Source organism: Homo sapiens, chromosome 2, assembly GCF_000001405.40.
Source record: "Homo sapiens chromosome 2, GRCh38.p14 Primary Assembly".
In the NCBI taxonomy this organism is placed as follows: Eukaryota; Metazoa; Chordata; class Mammalia; order Primates; family Hominidae; genus Homo; species Homo sapiens.
This window is the reverse complement of record NC_000002.12, coordinates 241,881,942-241,906,945: the sequence shown is the minus strand read 5'-3', so window position 1 is coordinate 241,906,945 and position 25,004 is coordinate 241,881,942. Positions and strand designations below refer to the sequence as shown.

Here is a 25,004-nt window from a genome sequence, read left to right as displayed (position 1 = left end):
CACTATTCAGCCCTCCACAAACACCAGCAGCAGACTAAGCCACGTTCAGGTCGTGTTGAGGTGGGAAATTAAAGAAAAATAAAATTAAAAAGAAAGAGAAATAAGCTTTCCCGTATTAGGCTAACTTGTCCTAGAGGCAGCAACAAGCACAGCCCAAACCCAGGAAAAGTCTTAATAATAATATTATCTAATGTGCTCTGGAGACTCTCCCAGCACTCCCTCAATATAGGGAGAAGAAAAACAAATTTTCCTTTGTTTTATGGAATGAGTTTATAAATTCCTGTTCTCTGTAACTATTGACTTCAAGCATTGTTTTATCTAAGCAGTAAAGTGAAGGTCATGAGCCTCTGAGCAGGCCTGAGTTACGGCCACCTGGGCAACATAGTGAAGGTTATGGGATAAGCCCGTGCCCAGGTTAACCTAGATAACGGACATGTGGGTTGCTTGGCAACAGTCATGTGCAATCCTGAGTTTGTCCTGCCTCTGTATCCCTGCTTTCACGCCACTGTAAGCTTGCTTCAAGCTAGCCCACCCCCTTTTGTGAAGTGTGTGTAAAAGTCAGGCGCTGTCTTTGTTCTGGGCCCAGTCTTTGGACATTGAGTCTGCTGGGTCTGAGTGCACTCAATGATAAAGATATCCTCCTGTGTACACTCCAAGGTCTCTCTCCGGTCCTCCTGATCCTGCAACAGTGCTAGGTCTCCCTAAAGGCCATCGGGCCCCTGGGTGGACCTTGGAGTCTTGCTCATTATCTCAGCCATGCTGTGCACATGACTGTAGTCCCAGCCTGGCCCACCCTGGGATGACAGGAGCTTCCCCCGGCGGTCCGTTTCCTGCACTGGCCCCCCCACAGGGATGTCTCCCAGGGCTGCCTGGACACGTCTTCACATTGGCTGAGGGGTCCCTCAAGGGCAACCAGACATGGCTTCTAGTCTAGTACCTGTTCTTCCCTCACAACATGAGTGAAGGATTTTAAACCTTCAAAGCCATATTTGCACTTACCTAACCCCTTAATCCTTTTCCTTCCGTCCCCCGTCCTGGAAGCCCCACTCAGTGTGTCAGGGGATTTCACCACCGAGGCACCTGTGGGCTGGGACCTGGGAGCTCTGCGTCCCCCTCCCCACACTCAGTTTCACTATGGCCAGATGCTGCCTCCGATGAAAGAAAGGGAGCCCATGGCAGAGCGTCGAGGGCGCCAGGGTGGCCACACAGGCCAGGAGACCAACCTCTAACCCTGATCTGACACAGGTCTAAGGGGAAGGTCATGAAGAAGAAACACAGCTCCTGAGAGACGTTTGGGGAGAACGAACCAGGACTAAACTAGAACTTACTCCGTGCAACCAGGGCCTCTCGGGAAACACTCAGGAAACCCTGGGCTGGCAGAACTAGTGGCGTCTTTGGGGACGGATCCCCGCAGGTTGGGAGTCCACGGTGCAGGGCCTGCATGGGGGACCAGACACGGCCACACCAGACGGGGCCCCTCTCAACGTTCAGCTGCTCAAGAAGGAGAAAAAGAGAAGGATTCTAAATGACGCACTGCCCTTCACACTTCAGGGTGAGGTTCCCGGCCCACTTTGTATTATGATTAAACACGCAGGTGTGCGCACACCCACAGCCCTGCACACACACCTGTGCACACTCCCAGCACCCACTCCCCCTTTTCTCCTGGGCAGAGGACGGCCAGGCCTAAGTGTGGTGCCCAGCACCAGTGACGGGCCCGGGGAAGGGACTGTGACGAGGAGGCCAGTGCCCCTGTGGACACAGCTGATCTAGAAACATCCAACTCAGCCCTCTGACACTGGACTCCAACGGAACCAAGCCACATCTGGGCAGAGGAAGGATTGGCGCCTCAGCAGCCAATCCCAGCCAGCAGGAGAAAGGACACAGCCCACAAAGCGCAGCCACATGCAGAGACGCACCTGCAGCCTCTGCAGCTCAGCGGGCCCAGGGAAGAGGCTCTTCCAGGAGGAGGCCCCGAGGGCATTCACAGACCAGCACCAGCAGGCAAAGAACCAGGAAAAGAGGGGCCACCTCCTGACAACACCCACAGACTCAGGGCCTGGCACCCTCCCCACATGTGTCCTTGGGGCACGCCAGACCAGACGGCACCTCAAGGCTTCCCAGCGCACACCTCACCGTCCAGACACCCTCAGTCATTGCCAAGCTGTGCTCCTAATAGCTTAGAAAATATGGTATTCAGGAAAAAGATTCCTCTGCAGGTGGCTCTGGTCAGGAAATTGATCATGAAACCACCACCTTCCCACTCGGTGCCGTCTAATCTGAGAGCCCCGTGTGCCTCCTGAGTGTAGAGGAGAATGTCTTCACCCTTCCCAGCAGCCACTCAGCTCCTGCCTGCTGCGATGGAGGACGTCCCTGAATGGCTCCCTCCCCGCCCCCATCTGAGGGCTCCTCAAAAGCAGGGTTTCGCCCCCACCCTGGAATCCCAGACACCCACTGCAGCCCCCGCAGGCCCCCAGGAAGTGCGGGATCCCCCTCGCTGCTGGGATTCTAGTACAATGCTGTGTCCGGCCCACATGGGGGAGCCGGCTCAGTGGCTTTTTTTTAGGTGAAATAGTAGTTAGTCAACACCTTAAAATCTGGATATGCTTCCTAAAAATTCAGATTTGAGGCATCTATGGAAAAAGTTTGCCCAGAGCAGCTGTGAGCTCAGCACCAGCCGCCCGTGGACATGGCGGCACCTCACTTTGCCACAGACCCCACCACTCCCTGTTGCCCTCCCCAGCGCTGAGCCAGATGGATAAGGACTCTGCAGCTAAAGTGCATTCCTAGAACACCTGGCTCAGGCAAAGTCCCAGCCCCAGATATGGCTCCAGAGGTAATCCCTGCCTCCCTGCCTCCCAGGTCAGCTCCTGGCCCAGCTGCTGACCCCCAAGGCCTCACGAGGTTGGTGCGAAGCTGCCTTCTCTGCGGGGCCTTCTGGGACACCCCCTGCCACCTTGTGCTTTGTGGCAGGGGGTCTGCAGCTACAGGGGCGTCTGTTCCCCCATGGCTCATTCACTCAGACCAAACATTGCTGTAGCCCAGGGACCCCTCGGGAGGGCGTGGACACTAGCGGGCAACACTGTGTACCCATCAAGCTGGGCATGGGGAGGGCAGCTGGGGGGAGTCTGAGCTGCTGGGGCCTGGGATGCCGCTTCAGTAGGGCGTCCACACTGGGCCAGGCATGGGCCCGAGTCCCATGAGAACTTGTGGCCTGTCCAGTGTGTGGAGCTTCGACGGGGCACCATGGACGGGAAAGACACCCCCTCACCACGCTGGGACTCACCCCTTCCCTACACTAGGACTTGCTCCTCCCCTCCCCACACAGGGACTTGGGCTCCACCATCTGTCCTGATGACTCCAGGCACCAAGGACCTTGTCTGCTGAGAGGGCTCAGACAGGAGGTGGGCCGGGCGGCAATGTGCGCGGGGGCAGGCGTGTCCCCGGCACCAAGAGGTCACAGTGGAGCTGAGCAGGTGCAGCCTCCGCACTCGGGCCTCAGCCTTGCGGCCCAGGAGAACAGAGTCAAAGACAGGCGTCCCCGGAGCACGGGACTTTCCAGGCTGCTCTGTCCGGGAGACAGAGCCTGCAGACCCCTCCTCACGCCCGCTCCAGGAAGAGGAGGAAGCCTGGGCCTCCTCTCCAAGCACAGAGAGGCCCCAAGCAGGGGCGGGGCAAGGAGGGTGCTGGTCTCTCTAGCGTTTTGTGAAGGGAGCAGCACTCGCGGTGAGCTGGGCGCGGGGCCCACCGCGCCGTCCTTGTCCCCTGCCACCATCTGCCGGTGCAGCCGAGCGGGCGGCGAGGAGGGTCCTTGGGGAGAAGCAGAGACCGCCCCATGCAGGCGTCTCACCGCGGACATGGGCGAGCGCTTCAGTTAGGAACATTTTTCCTTACAAAGGATGTCATGACTGTGGCTCACTAATTAGTAGTTAATAGAACCCAGTTCAAAAATGACTCCATAATGTGATCACCGGGCCCCTTGCAGATGGCCCAGCCGTAGTGGGCACCCCCTTCTCAAGGGAGGGCGGCCCCTGGGAGCCAGCAGGCCTCATGCGGAGCAGCCGCCACCAGCCTCGGGAGCCCTGGGCCTGAGTGTAACCGAGTTCACCTTCATGGCAGATTTCGGGGAAGGGCCCTGGGCCTGGCCCCTGGGCTCGGGGACGGCGCCCGCGTGCCACCGTGAGTGCAGGGCCAGGATGCTTCAGGAGCTGTCCTTTAGGTGCGTGGAGGCCCCGAGTGGCCGTGCAAGGGGACACAGTGCTCAGCACTTGCCAACTCCCGGGCAGACCGGGCCTGGGTCCAGGTTCTCAGGTCCAGCGTCCGGTGGCCCCGACTCCCTGGGCTCCCGGGAGGCACGAAGGACAGAGCTGGGTGATGCCGCACACGGGGAAGGCTCAGCCTGTGCTGCTGCTGCGACTGTGAGGACGCCGGCTTCACCGTCACAGAGCCCAGGTACAGGGGCGCAGGACGGGGCTGGCACAGGAGGCTTGGAGGCGGCGTTCCGGGCTGGCAGGCGGAGGGGAGGCGGCGGCGGAGGGGAGGCGGCGGCGGAGGGGAGGCGGCGGCGGAGGGGAGGCGGCGGCGGAGGGGAGGCGGCGGCGGAGGGGAGGCGGCGGCGGAGGGGAGGCGGCAGGCGGGACTCCTGGGCTGGAAGGCGGCTGAGCCCGGTAGCTGGAGCCCGGCAGCCTGGACGACCGCCTCTGATGGGGTGGGGGTGGCGGGTGCAGGAAAGTCCACTCAGAACCTCCGTGGTGCTACAGGGTTGTCTGGAGCCCACTGCACTGGGATAGCTCAGGAAAGAGGAAGAAACGCAAACGCCTCAGCCTGCGGCAAATGCATTCTCCCAAATTCCTCCTCCGCTCTGGCTGACTGCAGATAGTGCACACTTGACCTACAAACTCCGAAACACGGGGAGATCAGAATGCGCTCCCTGCCGCCTTGCTGCTCCATCAGGCACGGCCAGCACGGTGGCGCCCTGCCGTCCCTCCGCACACACGTCAGAAGGAAGGGGCCTGGAAGGACAAGTTTTGAAGTGTAGGCCGGTGTTGTGATTGCTGGTTGGTTTGGCCTCTCGGCTCCAGGGCAGGTGGGGAATCCCCGGGGCGCTCGCGCATAGGACCTGGGGAGACCACCACGGGCTTTACAAAAACGCAGTCCTGCTGGAGACGCCTCTCCTGGGGCTATTCCTTTCCGTTTTTAGGTGGCTTCCTCCCATCGGTGCTGCACGCAGCGGTTTTTCTGAAGCAGCTGCTGGTTCTCACCGGCGTCTTCCACCCGCGCTGCCTGAGCACCGTCTTTCCACCTTGTGCATTCTGTGCGCTGCGGCATGTCCCGGCGCGTCCTGAGGCCTAACCCCAGTTCGCAGGGAGCCACAGATCAAGGTGTCCTGAGCACACGCCAGGACTCGGGAAATCACGAACAGCTCCCAATCCACTGATGACACCCACAGAACTCCAGTTTAAAAAAAAACAACTGTGAAGGATAATATAAAAAATAAGTGTACCGTCTGCTTTATGATAGTAAACGAAAATTTCCCAAAAGCTTTCACCTGAAACTATCAATGACTTGGAAACCTCATAAAGAAGCAAGTGACCCGGGAGACTGAAACGAGATCACGGAGGCTGGCCCTGGGCCGGCCCTGCTGCCGGCTCCCTGAGGCCTGGAGGGATGGATCCTGGGAGAGGAACCCCGTCCAGGACAAAGCCTGGGGGCTTCACTTTGTGCATCTACCTGATGGCACCAGGGCGGCGGCTGGGACAGTGTTTCTGGGTGCGGCTGGGAGGGTGTTTCCGGACGCGGTGACCCCCGTGTGCTGGGCGTCATCCAATCCTCTGACGGCCTGAAGGTGCCGCGGTGGAGGAAGGAGGAATCGCTCCTGCTCGCCTGCCTTCCTTCCTGCTTGCTCCAGGACGCCTCATCTCACCGTCTCTGGACCAAGGTCTGGAATTTACACCAACCTCCCTCAGAGTCGGGTTGACTGACACCGCAGGCTTTCCTGGGTCCCAGATGGCAGATCCCGAGACCTCTCAGCGCCTGTCACCGCGAGAGCCAGCTCCTCACAATAAATACGTAAACCCATGTATGGGTGGGGCAGAGAGACCCTAAGCATTTCCACACCTGCCTTGAGTGTGTCTGCATCGTCGTTTTGTGATATACATTTCGCCTGCAGTAAGTGCAAAGGCCACCATTCCTGAGACGCAGGCCTGGGCAAAACCCAGGACTCCTAGGTGCCCCGACGCCCCTCCCCAGACAATGCTCCCTCCCACCCACAAGGTTTCCTGGGAGCAGCCGTCGAAAGAAGAAAAAAACAGTCCCGATGGGGGCTGAGGGCAGAGGAGGCCCAGCTGGCCGTCCTCCAGATTCCCATGCTGCCAACAGCTGCCCTCCGGACGGACAGCTCTGCCAGGGACGGTGCCCAGACAGAGGGCAGCGCGTCTTTCTGGGACTGAACCGACGCCAAGCATGCGTGTCACTGAGCCCATGTAACAGAGAGCGGCAGGCGAGATACAGGCGTGCACCCCGGAGAGGACAGGCTGAGGACCCTCAACAGAGACAGGAAAACCTGCCCGTCACTGAGAAATGGTTGGAAAAGTAAGCTCTCTGTGATGTGACAGGCGCTGTCCTTGCTTGAGAGATTGGCGCTGCATTTGGGGGCCCCCAAAAGGTGAACAGAGTATGTGACATATCTGGCACAAGACGTGAGCCCACCCGCATTTCGCTGGGGGAACTGAACTTTGTAATTTTGTTTTCCCACTGGGATTCCTGCTGTCAACACCTTTGGTGGGGGGAGAGTGTCTCCATCACCTGCCTCACAACACGCACCCCTTTGTGTGTCTGTTGTTGTCATTGTTGTTTTGTTTTGTTGCTGTTGTTGTTGTTTATGAGATGGAGTCTCGCTCTGTCGCCCAGGCTGGAGTGCAGTGGCATGATCGCGGCTCACTGCAACCTCCGCCTCCCGGGTTCACGCCATTCTCCTGCCTTAGCCTTCCGAGTAGCTGGGACTACAGGCGCCCACCACGACGCCCGGCTAATTTTTTGTATTTTTAGTGAAGACGGGGTTTCACCGTGTTAGTCAGGCTGGTCTGGATCTCCTGACCTCGTGATCCGCCCGCCTCGGCCTCCCACAGTGCTGGGATTCCAGGCCTGAGCCACCGCGCCCGGCCGCGTGTCTGTTTCTTCTGTCTGCTGGTTTGCTGGTTCTCCCTTTTGCTGCTGGTTTGTTTTTGTCCCATGAGGGTTTAAAGGGCTGCCTTTGGGGGCTAAGTGTCCTAAGAGCAGAAGCTCTAACGCCCACGCTGCTCTCTGAAGCCCCTGCCAAGAACAGCCAGGTCTCAGCTGTCAGATGTTTTCCAGCTGTTACTCGGTTTGAATCTGACACCAGCCCCAGCTTCACTCCGGGAGGCGTCTGCCCAGACACCAGAGGAGGTGCGAAGTTCCGGGGAAGCAGCTGGGCCCGGCCCTGACTGGTGGGTTCCGTGCATCCCACCCTCCTCATTGGATGAGTTTTCACTCACTGAATTCGCGCCAGCGTCCTCAGCACAGGCAGGCGTGGCTGAGTTCAGTCCCTTCATGATCAACTTTGCATGTCTAAGTTTCTGGAACAAAGGGCGTGGCATCGATGGGCGATTTCTGTGGCCCTCCAGGGGCAGCTCCCCAGCAAAGCGCCCAGCACCCACATCACAACAGGCTGCGCAGGCCACAGCGCCCGCGCCTCTGCAGCTGGAAGCCCCCAGCCAGGGGTCACATCAAGCTCCTCGAAGGAGTCCCCAGCACCTGTTCATTGCAACCTGAGCCGAGCTCCAGAAGGCACCCTTACCCTCTCCACCTGAAGCAGGTGATGTGTTTGCAGGAAACGAGCCCGCGGGTCTCAGCTGCCTGGTTTTCCTCTCGGGCCGCGCTCCTGCCACCCTGTGTTCTTCCCCAGCAAGAGAGAAGAGTGGGGGGCGGGGAAAGAGAAATGCCTCCAAGGCCAAGCAAGGCCAAGCTGAAGAACAAAGTGCCCCAAGGGAGCCAGCCAGGGCTGCAGAAATGGCTCTGCCCACCCCATAGGCCCCGAGGAGCTGGCCGGACAGCGGCTTAGGGGCTCAGGCAGCCCCAGAACAGTGGATGCCTCATTCATTCCGAGACCCACCGCCTTGCACCCCGAAACGTGGCCCTGGCTCCCTTGTGTAAACCCCATCCTCAAGCACAGAGCAGGGCCATCTACGGAGACCTGGAGCCAGGCCAGGGCAGGCACAGCCCAGGGACCCAGGCTCCACGCGTCCCAGGGAGAGCTGACCCAGAGCCGGGCTCCCACTGCTGGGTGAAATCGGGAGGAGGGCTCCAGAAAAGGGGCTGCTGCTGTCGACACTTTCCCTTTGTCACGGACATTCTTTTTTTGTTTGTTTGTTTGTTTGTTTGTTTGAGACGGAGTCTGTCACCCAGGCTGGAGTGCAGTGCTGCAATCTCATCTCACTGCAACCTCCACCTCCCGGGTTCAAGCGATTCTCCTGCCTCAGCCTCCAGAGTAGCTAGGATTACAGGCACCCACCACCAATCCCGGCTAATTTTTGTATTTTTAGTAGAGACAGGGTTTCACCATGTTGGCCAGGCTGGTCTCTTAACTCCTGAGCTCAAGTGATCTGCCAGCCTTGACCTCCCAAAGTGCTGGGATTACAGGCGTGAGCCACCACGCCCGGCCTTGGACATTCTTGATGGCTGTAGATTGATATTCTAAGATTGCTGGTGTCCCGTAGATGCACGAGTCCAAAATAATTGGAAAGTAAACATTTCAGTCAGCCTCACTTTAGCATATTACATCAAATAGCAGAGCTGAAGTTTTTCAGTGTAACCTGCCACATTTAACCCCACTGCTGGGTTTACATATTTCAAACCAAAAGGTACCCAATAACCAGGTGTCGAGAGAGGCCAACTGAGCTGGGCACGCTGGCTCACACCTGTAGTCCCAGCACTTTGGGAGGCTGAGCCAGGAAGACTGCTTGAGCCCAGGAGCTCAAGACCGGCCTGGGCAACATAGTGAGACCCAATCTCTACAAGATATACAAAAATTAGCTGGGCATGGTGGTGCACACCTATAGTCCCAGCTACTCAGGAAGCTGAGGTGGGACAATCACTTGAGTTCAGGCGGTCAAGGCTGCAGTGAGGGGAGATCGCACCACTGCATTGCAGCCTGGGTGATGGGAATGAGACCCTGTCTCAAAAACAAGGGATGGACTCACCTGGCACAGAAGCCACAGCCCCATCCAAGAAACGCTCACCTCGCTGGTGGGACTGCAGATCACCCACACTAACACACAGAGAGTTAGAAGTGCATCATTGCTTAGATTTTAAAATGACTAAAAGCCCAAAATGGAATTTGCCCTCCATTTCTACTTCTGCCAACCCAGGAGACTGCTCCAGAAGGTGGAGCCGGTAGAGCGTTTAGGAGCCGGTCAGGAGCCACCTGAGGCCTGAGTCTCAGAGGGCAGCCTCCGCCATCCCCCACGAACCAGGAAGGCGGGGACCACGATGCTGCAGGCTGAGCCAGCTCCTCTGCCATCCGGGTGCTGGAGCACAAACTCGTCAATGGGAATGGCATAAGGTGACTGAGCTCTTCTCCACTTTTTATTTTCCAGAACATGAGTAAAAGCCTCACTCTTAAGAATCCTGGAAGAGTAGCATACGATTCAGGCGGGATAAAGATGTTTTGGGAGAAAAAAATCGAGCATCACGCAAGACACCTGCAGAACGAGGACATCAGGGTTCGCAGAAGCGCTCTGAACAAGTGAGTCGGGGTGTGCAGTGCATCGGGGACCCCTATGCCTGAGCCACGCTCGCCACCCAGGGGCACAGCCCCGCCAGCAGTGTGCCCTGACACAGCCCTGGCCCTCAGCCCACCATGAAACCCCTCAGCTCCAGGCCTGTGAAAGGAGTCAACCCAGGAGGAAACTGACAGCCATTCACTCACCTTAGTGATCACGCTTGGAACAGTAGGTGGGAAATGACAAGACACCACGTTGCTAACCGTGAGACCAGGAGCTCAGATCAAACATCACTATCCAGGCAACACCACACCCCAATGCCCACGGACAATTCACCCCCACCCCCACACCCACACCCCTTCACCCACACCCCAACACCCACACCCCCACACCCACACACCCACACCCCAACACCCACACCCCCTTCACCCACACCCCAACACCCACACCCCAACACCCACACCCCTTCACCCACACCCCAACACACACACCCCCAACACCCACACCCCAACACCCACACCCCTTCACCCACACCCCAACACCCACACCCCTTCACCCACACCCCTTCACCCACACCCCAACACCCACACCCCCACACCCACACCCCTTCACCCACACCCCAACACCCACACCCCCACACCCACACCCCAACACACACACCCCAACACCCACACCCCAACACCCACACCCCAACACCCACACCCCCTTCACCCACACCCCCTTCCCCCGCCATCTCCCTGACACTCCGTCCAGGATCACAGGAACTTTTCCAGGAGGAAATGTCTTTCTCTGGCTTGTTTTTCTGAGATCACTGCCCTTGAGTGACGTATCTGTACTTGTGCCCTTCCTCCTCCTAGCAGACTTGCTCAGGAAGGCAGATACCAAGCCAGCACGCCTTTCTCTCCTAGGGCCAAGGCCAGGGGTCTATGGGTGCTGAGTGGGTGACCCTGAGCCGACCCAGGGTGTAGCCACTGCTCAGGGACAGCTGGGTGGGGAGCAGAGCTCATTTGCTGCAAGACACTGGCCGGCACACAGCAGGAGCTTCCAGAGGCTCCAGGCAGCCCTCGGTGCTCAGGCCCCGAGCAAGAGAGCCGTGGTACCCCTTCAGCAGCCCGAGGCGGTCCCACAGAGCCTGGGGGTGCCCCTCCCCACTCACCAGCTACCCAACTACGGACATGGACCCAGCACAGAGCCCAGCACCACGCAGGCACTCGGCAGACGATGGTGAAGGAGAGGCCCCCCCCCACCACCGAGTGCTTGCCCCACGGGCCCTGCCTCATCCCCGCCCTGTGCTTCCTGGACGTGTGCCTGTGTGTGCCTACGTGCCTCCGCGTGCCTCTGCGTGTGCCTGCATGTGCCATGTGCCCTGGTGTCCTCTGGCCATTGCCTGGGTGCAGATCCCAGGAGTGGGCTCAGGCCCCGGGACTGTGTGTCCACGCTGCCTTCTCTGGCCCCTGAGGTGGAGGTTGGTGTCCAAGGCAGGCACCAGCGTTCTCTCAGGGGCTGGCAGAGCCTCCATTTGCACAACCCCCCTCCATCCACCCACACAGCCCGGTTCTCCCCAGGCCACGAGGCCAACCACTGCTTTTAAGGAGGTCACTCTTAGGGTTCCCGTTAGAGAGTAGCCTAACTTTCCTCCCCGCATGAAGCCCAGAGAGCTGAGAGGGTCCCGTGTGCTGGTGTGAGCCCAAGGGCCAGGCCCACCCCAGGAAGCCGCCGTGAGAGAGGAGCTGGCCCATGTGGGAGACCGGCCATTCGCAGCCCCTGGCTCGGGACCCCACGGTCCCCTGTAAAGGGACAGGGGCCGCTGCTTCCACCACCATGGGGCTGGCTGTCCTGGCAGCCTCTCTGGGATGGGCGGCCGGCTGTGAGGGCCGAGGACTCCAGGCCCGGAGGCGCCAAGTCTGTGGGACCGTGGCAGCTGCTGACATCCTGCCCAGCTGACCCTCTCATGCATGGAGCTGCCCTGGGCCCCACCAGTCAGCAGCCATGGCCTGGCAAGGGTGAACATAGCTGTTGCTCGGGGACCATCACCGTGGGGCCCAGCCGTCCGGGGTACACTGCCTGCCACTCAGCAGCACCATCGTCATCTGGGTCCTGGGCATCTGTGACAAGTGTCCTCATGGACACAGCTCACCCTTGGCTGGAGCCGGGCACCCACCCCACTCTCCAACTTCTAAAGCCAAAAGCACTTGAGGCTGAAGGAAGCGGCAGCTGCGGGCAGGTGGGGATCTGCCCAGGTCTCGGGGAGCCTGGACCACTCTGACCAGGCCATTCCTGCCGCCAGGTCCGCCCATGCGTGGTGCTGAGATCACAACATAGCACCGTCCACTGTGGCCAGGCCGGGCAGGTGAGGCGGGCAGGCAAGCGAGAAGGAAGTGGGCACCCACAGGCAGCCGGGCAGGGTGCAGGGAGGCAGGCGGGCCCTAGGCAGCCACAGAGGCCGCCCTGTCCTGCGAGGGCACCTGCCTCTCCGTGAGCAGAGCAGAGACAGAGGCTGCAAGAGCTCAAGCTCAGGCACAGTCTCTCCGGGGCTCAGAAGCTTCCAGAACTGGGGACCCAGGCTGCTTCCCGGGGAAGGCATTTTTCCTCTCCTGTGAGGAGGGTCCTGAGTGAGACGCCCCCCCCCCCCCCCACCAACCACTGGTCAGCAGCCTGAGCCAAGGCCGGCCACGAGATCCCAGGGCCCTGGGAGACCCAGCAAGGTCACAGCTGCTGGCTGGGCAGGGATGCGGTGACACCCCCACCCCTGGCAGGGAGTGTCATACTCCTGCTCTCACAGGTGCCCAGGTGCTGAGAGACACGGGCTTGGCCGTCACTAAGTTCCGAGAGCTTGACTCACAATGCCGAAATTATCGCCCTGCCCCAGGCTCCGCGTGGGATGGGCTGAGCAGCTGGAGGGGAGGAACAAGATGCTGCAGGGCCCAGGGAGATGCCCAGACAGGGTCCCGGAGGCCACTGAGTCCCTCCACACCAAGGACAAGAAGGCGGCCTGAGGGCCCACGAGCTCCAGACTCTGCATGAGCTTCCGGAGGGTCATGGAGAAGGAACACCACGCGTGGGGTCCAAGCATCCACGCCAGAGTTCACAGGATCTTCATCATGGAAATGGCCCGCACCTCGCTGACCCCGTAATAATCCCACCTCGGGGTCCACGCTGCAGCAGAGTCCCAGGGTTCTCTAGCGCATCTCTGGTGCCCAATAAAACCTAAGTCAATTGGATTGAATGTTTCGTGCTAAATTTTCTTCCTGTCTTTAAGGTTTCTACATAGTAAACACTTGCCACAATGTTACCAACTTACGACAAGCCATGTAAAGAAACTGCTGCATCTCAGGGACTCTTCAGCTGCCTGACCACCTCCAATTTGCAGATTTAAATGCAATTTTATTTCACCTTTGATCAAAATATGTACATAAGTTTCAACTTCAGGACATTCCTTATACTGCATAAAGCTTTGTCCTTTTCCAAAATTCCTTTAATTATTTCATATTTAGTACCTGAAACATCTCAGAAAATTAAATATCCTCATTTTTACACTTGAAAAAGTTCAGGTTTAGAAAGGGCAGCATCTCCCAAGGCCACGAGGGCTGTTGGAGCCGAGATTCACCTCCTGATGCTCAGCATGAGCCCTGGGAGCCCCACTGCAAGCTGCAACTACGCTGGACAGGTCAGAGGGAGGGAGAGGGGCCGCCACACTGCCCAGAGGCCAGACGGTCAAGAACCTGGGGTGGTCTCCTGGACAGAGGAGGGTGCTCTCGGCTGTAGCCGAGGCCGGTTCTGACACCTGTACCCGCACCCCACACCTCGCGTGTGCTCTTTTATAGCCGCAGGGATCAGCCCTCAGGAACACAGAAGCACTGGGGCCTCGGCTGGCTGGGGCTGCTGTGGAATCTCACATCATCTCCCCAGTCGTAGATGTTGATGCGGTTCGGTTCTGTTTTGTTTGGACCCTCTGGTCAAGTTGTCAAAGACAAAGAAATTAGCCCCAGCTTTGCGGGTCTTGTCAAAGACAAAGAAATTAGCCCCAGCTTTGCAGGTCATGGGTAACCCAACAAAGCACTAACGAGAGGATCGCGTAGCCAGGTCCCTGCTGTGCCACGTGCAGACTCCACGCAGGCCCACGCCATCTCAAGTGTGCATTTCTGGGGCTGACCATGAACTACTGCACAGACAGCACGTGCAGAAAGAAGGATCGGAACCTGACACAAAGCCCGGGTGCCTGGATGCCTGGTCTGCCAGTCAGTGGGCAGAAGCGCAGCCAGGGCCCTCGCAACACTGGCCATGGAGATGTCCAGGGCTGGGGTCACAGGTCAGCACTGGGCCCCACCCTCACCGCTAGTGACTCAGGGATTTGCAGGGAGGGAGGGAGGTGATTAACAGCCCTGAAGATAGTTCATGAACAGAAACCACTCGCTAATCTTTGCAAAGCCCCAGGCTGCGGAGGAGTGATTTTATCTGATGATATCCTCAGAACACTATTACTGTCAACACCGTAATAAACTGAGGTGTCAGACTGGACTTTTGGGGGATGGAAGAGCATATTCATGCTGCAATCTTCATCACAGTTTGGCCCTGCAGAACCTTCCAGAACAGCCACCCCCTCCTGCTTGCCTCATGACCCAATTACTCTCCAACGATGCAGTCACCTTCCCATTGACAGCAGAGGTCCCGGCCACAGGGGCAGCGGGCAGTCTGCCAGCCACATCTTCACTCTGTTTTGTCGTTAATCCTCAGGCAAAGCTGGGCCCAGCTCCCAAGGCTGGAAGGCGCCCAGTGCAGAAGAGAGACAGGGAGAGAAGGAGACCAGGGAGGGTAGGAGAGGGGCAAGGGGAAGAGGGATGGCTGGGCCGGCTTTCCAGGAGAGGAGAGGGACGCCAGCCCCCAGGGCTCTGAGCCCGGAGTCCCTCCTCACACCTGGCCCCTTTGCAATTCACCTGGTGTACAGAGGGCATTTCTGAAATCTTTGCTCCAGGAGGTGAATTTCAGCAGAATACCCATTGTTTGTATGAGGCACAGACCGGAGGGGACCTTGGTTGAATAACCAGTAATTGCAGGCACTCCCATGATCCACCTGGGAGGCTCGTCAGTTTTCTAAAACAGACACCATTGCTCAAGCCTGTTTACTTTTAAAGCACACAATAATGCTCGCTTGCTAGTTTGTTTTTGTCCTGCTAAATCTTTGAAAGGCTTTCCATAACTCCTGTCAAATGTTGCCAAATTCAACGCAGTTGGCATTTAAATATAACTTTGGAATCATGCACTGTTCCTTTTTCATAACTGACTGCGACTGGGTTGGGAAGGTAGGAGGGTGCACTCCCGGCCGAGCTGCTTGGGGCTCCAGGGCTGGGCCACATCCTTTGCTGCTGGTGCCTCAGGTCTAGAATCGGGCCCCAGGATTCCTCATCCAGACAAGCTCTGAGACTCAGAATATTCCCAGTTTTAGAGAAGTGGTACAGTGCAGATCCCAGAAGTCTCCTAACACCTGTCACCAAGCATTTTAATGTTTCTGCGGTAAGACTCAGACACGCTCACGCTCAGTTAGGCGCGTGAAGACCTGGGCAGACTCAGTCATCTCAGACCAGGTCCTGCTGCCCAGCAACCCCCAGAGAGCTTCCCGTGCTCCAGAACTGCCGGACTTGGGAGCGGCGGGCGAGGGGCTGAGGGAGGAGCTGCCGGTGTGGGCGTGAAGCCGCCAGGCTCCGCCTGTGCCCGCCACAGTGCTTGGCGTTCGTGAGGTGAGGCCCAGGCAGTGGGCCATGGTGCTTCCTGGCCTGGCCTGGGCACCGCAGCTCCTCCCTGCGGAGGCCGGTCTGATGCCGGGGTCTGAGCTCCTGTCACAGAGGTGCCATCAGGAAGACAGAAACCGAGGCCACAGAACCAATTAAACCAGGAGGACATCCGTGGATGTATTTGCTACATGCTGTTTCCTTTTTCTCTAGTGCACATCTTTTTAAAATAAGAGCCTTTCCCTACAGAGCCAAAATCGAATTATCATACTTAACAAAACATATATCCTTCATATCAGCCAATATCTAGTACATTTTCCAGTTTCTCCAGTTGAACACAATTTCCTCTGAAGGCAGGTTTGTCTAAGGAAGATCAGACGTGGAACCAGTTCTGCCACCTGCCTCGCCGAGGAGGCCAGGTGTCCGGGAAAGGTCCCCCCCGGGCCTGTTGGTGCCGCCACCTGCCTTGCCAAGGAGGCCAGGTGTCCGGGAAAGGTCCCCGCCGGGCCTGTCGGTGCCGCCACCTGCCTCGCCACCGAGGAGGCTGGGTGTCCGGGAAAGGTCCCCCCCGGGCCTGTCGGTGCCGCCACCTGCCTCACCGCCGAGAAGGCCGGGTGTCCGGGAAAGGTCCCCGCAGGGACTGTTGGTGCTGTCCTGGGGGGTTCTTCCCCATCCCCCCTCATTCCTTAGAAATGGAAATCAGCTCCACAGGTTGCCGGATTCACGGTGAACATTTCGGCTGGGACGTATCCAGGGAATGTGAAGCTCCTGTACTTCTCACCAGGAGATATGCTCCCTGGGTGACCCCCACTGGGAGGCTGAGGCTGATGCCCACACGAGGGGAGGCTCACAGCCTTCCCTGCCATCGATACCAGACAAGGGTCCTGTCCCCAGCAGCTGCTCACCTCACTGGTCTAAACACTCATGGGCTAACCTTGTCCTAGTCCATGATTTCAGTGGTGTTTGGAAAAGATGATTTTTCTAACTCAGTCACTCATTCACATTTATGGGCCGACATTCCTTTTTGTTGTTGTTTTTTTGAGACAGAGTCTCATTCTGTCACCCAGGCTGGAGTGCAATGGTGCGATCTCGGCTCACTGCAACCTCTGCCTTCTGAGTTCAAGCAATTCTCCTGCCTCAGCCTCCCAAGTAGCTGGGATTACAGGCGTGTGCCACCACACCCATCTAAAGTTTGTATTTTTAGTAGAGATGGGGTTTCGCCATGTTGGCCAGTCTGGTCTCGAACCCCTGACCTCAGCTGATCCACCCACCTCGGCCTCCCTAACACTGTAATCCAAAGTGCTAGGATTATAGGCATGAGACACCATGCCCGGCCCAACATTCCTTTTTAAAGGAGGTCTTTCCTCATACCTAGTGCCATTTGGTTATACTGGCATCCTCTTTCTAGCACAAAACAAGATAATGTTTGATTTTTCCCTCTGGCTGCCAATATTCAAAATAAAGAGTTGGTTTAAGATCTGCCTGAGTTTTTCAGGCTTTCTCTTTTCTTAGAGTGTCATTGTGGATTCATGGATGTAAATGGATTAGATGTATCCTAGTTAACTATGGGCCTCATTCTTTTGGATGCTCAGGTTGTCCCAGATTTCACCAATGCCACCTCTTTCAAACTGGCTCCTTGTCTTCTCGACAGGCCCCATTCGTCCTGGAGAGCCCCCTCACTTTCAGGCACAATGAAACGTTCTGGGACCCTTGTGCACGTTGGCTGTCCCCAACCAGAAATCTGCCATATCTCTATTAGAAACCAGGGTTTGTCTTGATTGTCACAATGTAACATTAAAATTGCCTGTTCTTGAAATACTGGAAATAAGGGGGAAGCTGCAAATAACCCTATCCCTATTAAAGAAATTAAAGTTGTACATAAAAACCTTCCCACAAAGAAAACCCCAAGACTACAGTAGCAGGAAAAAAAGATTCAGTAGGTACTTATGACAAAATTCTTAGCAAACCAGAAATAATGGGGACCTTCCACAACCTGATTAAATACATTTATAGAAAACTAACAACTAAAACTAAACTAAAAGTGACCCATACTTAGGGCCACTTTTGACACTTCTGTTCCATACTGTACTGGGGGTCCCAGCCAATGCAATAAGGCAAGAAAAGGAAACAGAGGGCATAAAAATCAGAAAGAAAGATGGGGGAGGGAGAGGAAAAAGAGAGGAAGAAAGCCATTATTTGCAAGCATGATTATGTGTTGAGAAAACCCTATGTAATCTACAAAACAAACTACTGAAAATGATTCAGTGAATCTAGTCAGGTTGCAGGATATCTGATCAAGTACAAAATTCAATTATCTTCCTATATTTCTATGAACAATTTAAAAATGAAATTGTTAAACAATTCCATATGCAATGGCATAAAAAGGCACCAAACCTGAAGAATAGAAGTAACGGAGCCCCAGCTAGACAGCAGCTGATGCCCCCCGAGAGGTCCCATGCAGCCATCCCCGGGCAGCTGTCCCAGGTGCCCACCCCCCACTCACCAAGAGCCCTGAAAATCAAGGGTCTGAGCCCAGGGGAGCAGACCCAGCTCATGACAACAAATGTACAAGGCCAAACGGAAGGCACCTGCTGCTTCTTGCCTCCCAGCCTGACAGACAGTTACACGTGGTGGGGCCAGTGAGAGGGAGGATGGGAGGAAAGAGGCAGGGAGTGAGGGGTAGTGAAGGGAAGGGAGGGAGGAAGCAGGTTGGCAGGGGAGGGGGAGCCAGTGAGAGGGAGGACGGGAGGAAGCAGGTGGGGGGGCAGCAAGAGGGAGAATGGGAGGAAGCAGGTGGGGGGTGCCAGTGAGAGGGAGGACGGGAGGAAGCAGGTGGGGGGGCAGCAAGAGGGAGAATGGGAGGAAGCAGGTGGGGGTGCCAGTGAGAGGGAGGATGGGAGGAAGCAGGTGGGGGGGCAGCAAGAGGGAGAATGGGAGGAAGCAGGTGGGGGGTGCCAGTGAGAGGGAGGACGGGAGGAAGCAGGTGGGGGGGCAGCAAGAGGGAGAATGGGAGGAAGCAGGTGGGGGTGCCAGTGAGAGGGAGGATGGGAGGAAGCAGGCGGCGGGGGGGGCAGTGAGGGGGAGGGAGGGAGGAAGTCCACCCCACCCTCCAGCCTGACCTGAGCTGTGGCTGCCTCTGAGAGGGCAGAAGGGCCGGCCTGCAGGCGATACGCCCCCTGACACCCACTGAGTGAGACCGAGGGCACCCCCACCTGAATCCCCTCTATGAAGCTTAATGAGCTTAAAGGAGCATCGGAGCTGGGGGAATGGTGGCCCCAAAAGACATGTCCCCCGAGAACCTGCGAGTGGGACCTCATGGAGAAAGGGTCTTTACTGATGTAATTAAGTTTAGGTTCTCCAGATAGAATCATGGTGGATTAGAGCGGTCCCTGCATCCAATGACAGGTGCCGTTATAAAGCAGAGAACACAGGGAGACGGATGCCGCGTGAAGAAGAACGGAGCCAGAGTGACGCATCCACAAGCAGAGGAGCACGAAGATGCAGCGAGCCCCAGCATGGCGGAGAGAGGCAGGAAACGCATCCCCCTCAGAGCCACCCCCAGTCTCCCCTCAGAGCCCCCACAGCCCCCTCAGAGCCACTGCATCCCCCTCAGAGCCTCCGGAGGGAACCGACCCCATCACCACTTTGTTTCAGACTTCAGGTCTCCAGAACCGTGAGACAGTATCCGCTGTTTTGAGCCATCCGGTTTGTGGTACCTTGTTAACCTTCTTCTACAACCCTAAAAAGCAAATACCAGCATGCACTATTTTAGATTTTAAAACCAGGATTATAAAAGAACCACAGAAACACAGGGAAAGGCGCGATTATCCAGTTTTCTCGGGCAGTCGCTCTGAAGAGGAAATGTTGGAGAGGAATTTGCACAACAGAAGTGGGTTACTGAAGGGCATTGAGGCAGCCTCCTTGGGGGGCGCGGGTGGTCTGGTGGGTGGGGGTGAGGGGCAAATGGCAGAGAGAGAGAGAGAGAGAGAGGTGGGCCCTGCCTGCATCCTTCACTTCAGGGGTTTGCCTTGGCCAAACAGCTAGTTCTAGCCAAGAAACTTGGGCAGGGGTGATGCAGTCCACTCCTGGCCCTGGCTCATAAGACCCTCGCAACAGCCTCCTCACTTTCCTCCCCGGCCGTGTACTGAACGGAGAGGACGCCAAACCAGAGGACGGCAGCGCCACAGGTGGAAGGGGCTGCTGGATCCCTGAGTGACAGTGTGGAGCCGAGCTCCCTGAGGACTTGCATCACAGCACAGCAGTGCTAAGATATGAGGTGTGCCTCACGGATGCACCTGCTGTGTGCATGGGCCTGGACAGCATCCTACAGAGATCATGAAGCCTCAAAAATGTCCTCACTGGGGCCACAAAGAGATCAACACTGGGCCTCAGGAAGAGCGGTGGTGCAGGTGCGGGGGATGCGTTGCTGTGGGCACAGATCTGCCGCACCGGGAAGGGCAGGGAGGCCACTGAAGCAGCCCAGGCAGGTCTGGATCCCGAGAAGCAGCCTCCTGTCAGGGGCTGTGGAGACCGGAGGAGGCTCCCTGATGCCTCCTCTTCGAAAGACGCTCTGCACCCATGTATTTGTGCTCAATAAGACCCATTTGTTGCACGCAAGCTGGCACAGCTCATAATTCAGGGGCAAAGGAATTGGAAGGACATTTCAGAAAATCTGTAAACAAAAGCAATTATTCTTTTGTGCAGTGGAAAGAAAACACAACCAGCCATTTTTCCTCATTCTCTGCAGTGTCCGTGAGTGTGGCAGCCAAGCCTCAAATGTACTTGCTTCTCAGATTCAGCTCAACCCCCTCCATCAACACAACCACCACAAAACTTGGTATTTTTCTCCTACAAACTTTGCCCAATTTTCCCTTTTCCATCTGAAAAACAAGACTCCAGGCCACGTTCACTATGAGATTACTTAATGACTCTCTGTTGGCCCCGAGGTCTGCCACCTGCCCCCACCGCACTCCCCAAGGAGGAGGCCTGACAAACTCATTCATAGCGAGGCAGAGGACACGGTGATGCAGAAGAACATAAAAGCTGACGCTGGGGCTTTCCCAGGTCCCTGGAGACTGAGGCTACAGGGCGAATGTGCAGTGAAGGGCTCTGGGGTTCCAAAAGCTGTGGGGGGCTTCTGTGGCACAGCCCCTGTGGAGACTCAGGCACCTTCCTGGAGGCAGACCCAGAGCAAAGCTCTGCCTTAATCCTCCAAGATCTTTCTCAGGCCAACTCCAGTTCAACAAGGGACCTGACTTCTAGTTCACGGGGTTGTCCTGAGTGTTACAGAGAACGCGCATGTGAAAGAGAGGTGGAGTGCACACGTGCAAACAACATGCCCTGCACCCCGCAGCAGCCAGGTCTGTGCAGAGAAGCCTGGAGGACAACGTGGCTGGCATGGGCTGCTCCCAAGATGATAGACAGATGGACTGGAGCCAGGACCCTCACAGAGTATTTAGGGGGGTGGTGGCTGCACGGACAGCAGCTCTTCCAATACAACTCGGAGGCTTCATTTCTGCCTCACATGGGGTTTTGTTGCATCTCTCTGAAGGTCCTCTCGTTAAAGACCAGCACCCGCGTAACCCGTCCACAGCCTGCAGCCCTGCACAGAGGCTCAGACTCCTCGAAACCCCAGATGCTCCCCACCACCCGAGCTCCCACCTGCTGTAGGCAGTTAAACCACTCAAACTTCACTTACAGGATTATCCAGCTGAACACCCAGGCTGTACTGCTTAAGGGCTGCAGCCTTGAAAGACACACTCAAAATTACAGCCTCAGAAAGCACGCACTGCAGGGAAAGGCACTCAATAGAACATGCTGAGTGGTGCAATCCACCCTGGGGCCCCCAGAGGAGTCTGCATTTCTCTCCCCGTGAGCTCTTTAATGGTGCACACACAGCACCCAGCACGGAGGGGCTAATTGATTAGCTGTCTCTGCAGCACATGCTGCTGGCGCCATGGCTCACAGCAATTCCACGCTTACACTCACAGCCTGTTTCTCTGCTGTTGGAGCTCTGGTGGGCTGCAGGCTTCACTGCCACAACACACGGGACCCGGTGTCCACCTGCCACCTCCCCACCTGGGGCGCCTCTGGGCTGCTAGGCTGGTAAGAGGTCACCCCTGCCGTGACAGGGTAGCCAGTGCTGGACCTGCGTTCCTCCAGCAAATGGCTGTGAAACTGGACAAATACAGGGCCACTGTGATGGAGCCAACTGTGAGCCATGCTTCCCACCCTCCCCCTCCCACTCTGCCACCATAGGAGGCAGAGCTCGGGGAAACAAGGGCGCAGTGAGAGGAGGGCATAGCACCAGGGCTGGGGTTGGCCTGGGACAACAGAGAAGGAGCTGTGTGGATGCCGGACAGGGGAGATGGGGAGGAAAGTGACCATGGCTCACAGCGGCCTCAACCTCCTGGGCTCCAGGGATCCCCCTGCCTCAGCCTCCCGAGCAGCTGAAACTACAGGTGCACACCACCATGCTCGGCTAGTTTGCTTTCTTTTTAATAGACGAGGTATCACTGTGTTTCCGAAAGCAGTCTCGAACTCCTAAGTTCAAGCAATCCTCCTGCCTCTGCCTCCTAAAATTTGGGCATCACAAACATGAGCCACCACACCCAACTGACAGTTAATTTCTTAAAAAGTTAACTTTAATTTATTCAAAAGATTGTCTAAAGCAAAAGTAGCATTGTGTTACGGAGTTTGTAATGTAGGTAGAGGTTAAACATATGGCAACTGTAACAGGAAGAACAGGGTTAGAGGAATTACACCGTTACAAGTTTCCCACATTTTGTGTGAGGTGAATAGGCTGATAAATTAAGGATTCATTTTGTTGTCTTTAGGGTAACTACTAAAAATGGTAATACCAAGAGGCACAGCTAAAAGACCAACAGAGGTGTAAAACGAAGTACTAAAAAATTTCAATTAACCCAAAAAAGGCAGGAATGGAGGAACAAAGGAACAAAAAAATGACAAATAAAAAACAAATGACAAGATAAGACACTTAGAAAACAAGTAGCAAGATGGGGGATCTACAGCAACCTCATCAATCATTACTGGAATTGCAAATGGAGAAACTCCATGTGCAAAGCAGGGATTGTCACCAAGACCCAACTCCATCTACAGACACCCACGTAAGATACAAAGACAGGTTGGGTGTCTAAAGGATAGAAAAAGATCCACAGTGGTCCAGGAGTGGTCCCAGCATTGTGGTAGGCACAAGAGTGAGGATCACTTGAGTCTTAGAGTTTGACCTGTAATCCAAGCACTTTGGGAGGCTGAGGCAGGCAGATCACCTGAGGTCAAGAGTTCCAGACCAGCCTGGCCAACACGGTGAAACCCTGTCTCTACTAAAAATACGAAAAAAATTAGCCAGGCATGGTGGTTTGTGCCTGTAATCCCAGCTACTGGAGAGGCTGAGGCAGGAGAATTGCCTGAACCCAGGAGGCAGAGGTTGCAGCGAGCCAAGATCGCGCCACTGCACTCCAGCCTGGGCAACAAGAGTGAAACTCCATCTCAAAAAAAAAAAAAAGGAGTTTGAAAAATACAAAAAAAAAATTAGCCTGGTGTGGTGGTGCACACCTGTGGTCTCAGCTACTCTGGAGGCTGAGGTGGAAGGATCACTTGAGCCCAGGAGGTCGAGGCTGTGGTGAGCCAAGATGGCACCACTGCACTCCAGCCCGGGCAACAGAGTGAGACCCTGTCTCAAAAAAAAAAAAAAAAAGGAAAAAAGTGGCCAGGCACGGTGGCTCATGCCTGTAATCCCAGCACTTTGGGAGGCCAAGGTGGGCAGGATCACAACGTCAGGATATAAAGACCATCCTGGCTAACACGGTGAAACCCCGTCTCTACTAAAAAAAATACAAAAAAATTAGCCAGGCGTGGTGGCGGGTGCCTGTGGTCCCAGCTACTCGGGAGGCTAAGGCAGGAGAATGGCGTGAACCCGAGAGGTGGAGCTTGCAGCGAGCCAAGATCGCGCCACTGCACTCCAGCTTGGGCAATGGAGCAAGACTCTGTCTGAAAAAGAAAAAAAAAAGAAAAAAGAATAGAAAAAGGAAAAGATACACAGTGCCAATTCTGTGCATAAGAAAATAGCCCTGGAACACTCACATTAGACCAGGTAGCACCCCTGAAGATAAAGAGGGACATTCCATGATGACACCATGGTCAGCCACTGTCAGGATCACAGAAAAATCCTAAATGCCTAAAAAGATAATAACAGTTTCAAAAAACACGAAGTAAAAACGGACGGAACTGAAAGAATAGAGAAATTCACTGTCCTAGTTGGAGATGTAACAGCTCTCTCGGGACTGCAAGCACAGCGGGTGGGACAGGAAGGATTCGCCGGTTTAAAGAGCACTGTCAACCAGCTGCACCTCATTAACTCTTGGCGAGCATCCCACCCCACAGCTGCAGAACACAAGTAATTTTTGAGTGTATACGGAGCATTTACAAAGATAGGGCTTATGTTAAACAGTAAGAATAAGTCTCTGTAATTTTAAAAAGTGAGATCCTGCAGTTTGTTCCTTGATCAAAATGGAATTAAATCAGTAATAGCAAGATTCCTTTTAGACTCTCCACATATTTGGAAAGTGGGCAATACTCTTCTAAATATGCTTCTCAGAATAGAGGGTTTAAAAAATAAATACACACATAAAGAGATTCTTCTAAATAAAGCATGGGTCAAAGAAGAAATCCAAAGAAAATTAGCACTTATTTCAAATATCCATCAAAATATTACACAAAAATTGTAGCATAGTCTTAGAGGAAGATTTGTGACTTTAAATACTGACGACATTTCAACAAAGAAGGTACACAGTGATCAATACACTCATGAAAGGGTGTTCAACTCACCCGTCACAAGGAAATGCAAACTAACGCCTCACTGAGATCTGCCAAACTTCTGGTGCCGACTGTGACCTGGCCGCGCCTGCGGGGGGCAGAGGAGAGAAGGAGACTGGGGGTGAGGTCCACGTGTCCCAGGCAGGGGGACAGAGGCCAGAAGAAAGTGGCTGCGGGTGAGATCCACATGTCCCAGCCAGGGACGGAGAGGAGGGAGAACCGGACAGCAGCATCTGCTTCCAGCCACGTCACGTGTTTGGAGAGGCGGTGTCACCTCAGTGTGAGGAATGGCCACTCAGGACACGTCTGGACTTCCTCCCAGCCACCTCTCACCAGGGATCAGAATCCCGGCCCCGGGGACCCTCGACCCATAAACATCTTGGGCCTACAGCACCACCAAGCACGCCACAGCCTTGGCCTGGGGCTGCTTCAGAGACACCGCACGGAGGGCTTCTCACTTCCCCAGCCAGGAGCCACCCACGCTGCACCCGGGGAGGCCCCAGTTGCATCTGTCCCACCTTTCAGACCGAGCCAGCCAGAGGCGCCCAGAAAGACTATGCCAGGCCTCAGCTGTGTTGAAACCCAGGTTGGGGACAGTGGCAGGACCTGTGCCAGCGTCTGCCCTTGCTCCTGGCTGGATTCAGTTACTTGGCTGGGCCCCAGTGAAGGCGCAGAGGGCACCACCACCTGCACAGGAAGGGAAGGA

General features: G+C 55.9%; 1 protein-coding gene and 1 long non-coding RNA gene across 4 annotated transcripts in view, besides 3 other annotated features; one reads left to right on the top strand and one right to left on the bottom strand.

Annotated features, from left to right (window-relative positions):
• The window catches only part of LINC01237 (long intergenic non-protein coding RNA 1237), a 197,360-nt gene that overhangs the window by 171,777 nt on the left and 579 nt on the right, over positions 1–25,004 (bottom strand). Inside the window, exon 2 of the long non-coding RNA NR_110220.1 lies at positions 24,311–24,386. This is a non-coding gene — a long non-coding RNA (long intergenic non-protein coding RNA 1237). The remainder of the gene's footprint in view (positions 1–24,310; positions 24,387–25,004) is intronic.
• Positions 4,361–12,958, top strand: FAM240C (family with sequence similarity 240 member C). 3 transcript variants are annotated; one of them, NM_001382369.1, is made up of 3 exons: positions 4,361–4,449; positions 9,612–9,760; positions 12,607–12,958. In NM_001382369.1, exons 2-3 carry the CDS (start codon positions 9,615–9,617, stop codon positions 12,731–12,733), a joined length of 273 nt encoding a protein of 90 aa, NP_001369298.1. In that variant the 5' UTR covers positions 4,361–4,449; positions 9,612–9,614; the 3' UTR covers positions 12,734–12,958. The 3 variants fall into 3 exon arrangements, with proteins under 3 accessions (NP_001369298.1, NP_001369297.1, NP_001369299.1); NM_001382368.1 differs by lacking the exon at positions 4,361–4,449 and adding an exon at positions 6,482–6,588; NM_001382370.1 differs by lacking the exon at positions 4,361–4,449 and adding an exon at positions 7,806–7,831.
• Positions 5,077–5,722: an enhancer, noted in NCBI's record as "H3K27ac-H3K4me1 hESC enhancer chr2:242843375-242844020 (GRCh37/hg19 assembly coordinates)". NCBI's record gives its function as "activates a minimal SCP1, AML or CMV promoter by ChIP-STARR-seq in primed H9 embryonic stem cells {active_cell/tissue: H9 hESC(primed)}" and the evidence as "EXISTENCE:reporter gene assay evidence [ECO:0000049][PMID:30033119]".
• Positions 5,723–6,366: an enhancer, noted in NCBI's record as "H3K4me1 hESC enhancer chr2:242842731-242843374 (GRCh37/hg19 assembly coordinates)". NCBI's record gives its function as "activates a minimal SCP1, AML or CMV promoter by ChIP-STARR-seq in naive H9 embryonic stem cells {active_cell/tissue: H9 hESC(naive)}" and the evidence as "EXISTENCE:reporter gene assay evidence [ECO:0000049][PMID:30033119]".
• Positions 6,367–7,011: an enhancer, noted in NCBI's record as "H3K4me1 hESC enhancer chr2:242842086-242842730 (GRCh37/hg19 assembly coordinates)". NCBI's record gives its function as "activates a minimal SCP1, AML or CMV promoter by ChIP-STARR-seq in naive and primed H9 embryonic stem cells {active_cell/tissue: H9 hESC(naive and primed)}" and the evidence as "EXISTENCE:reporter gene assay evidence [ECO:0000049][PMID:30033119]".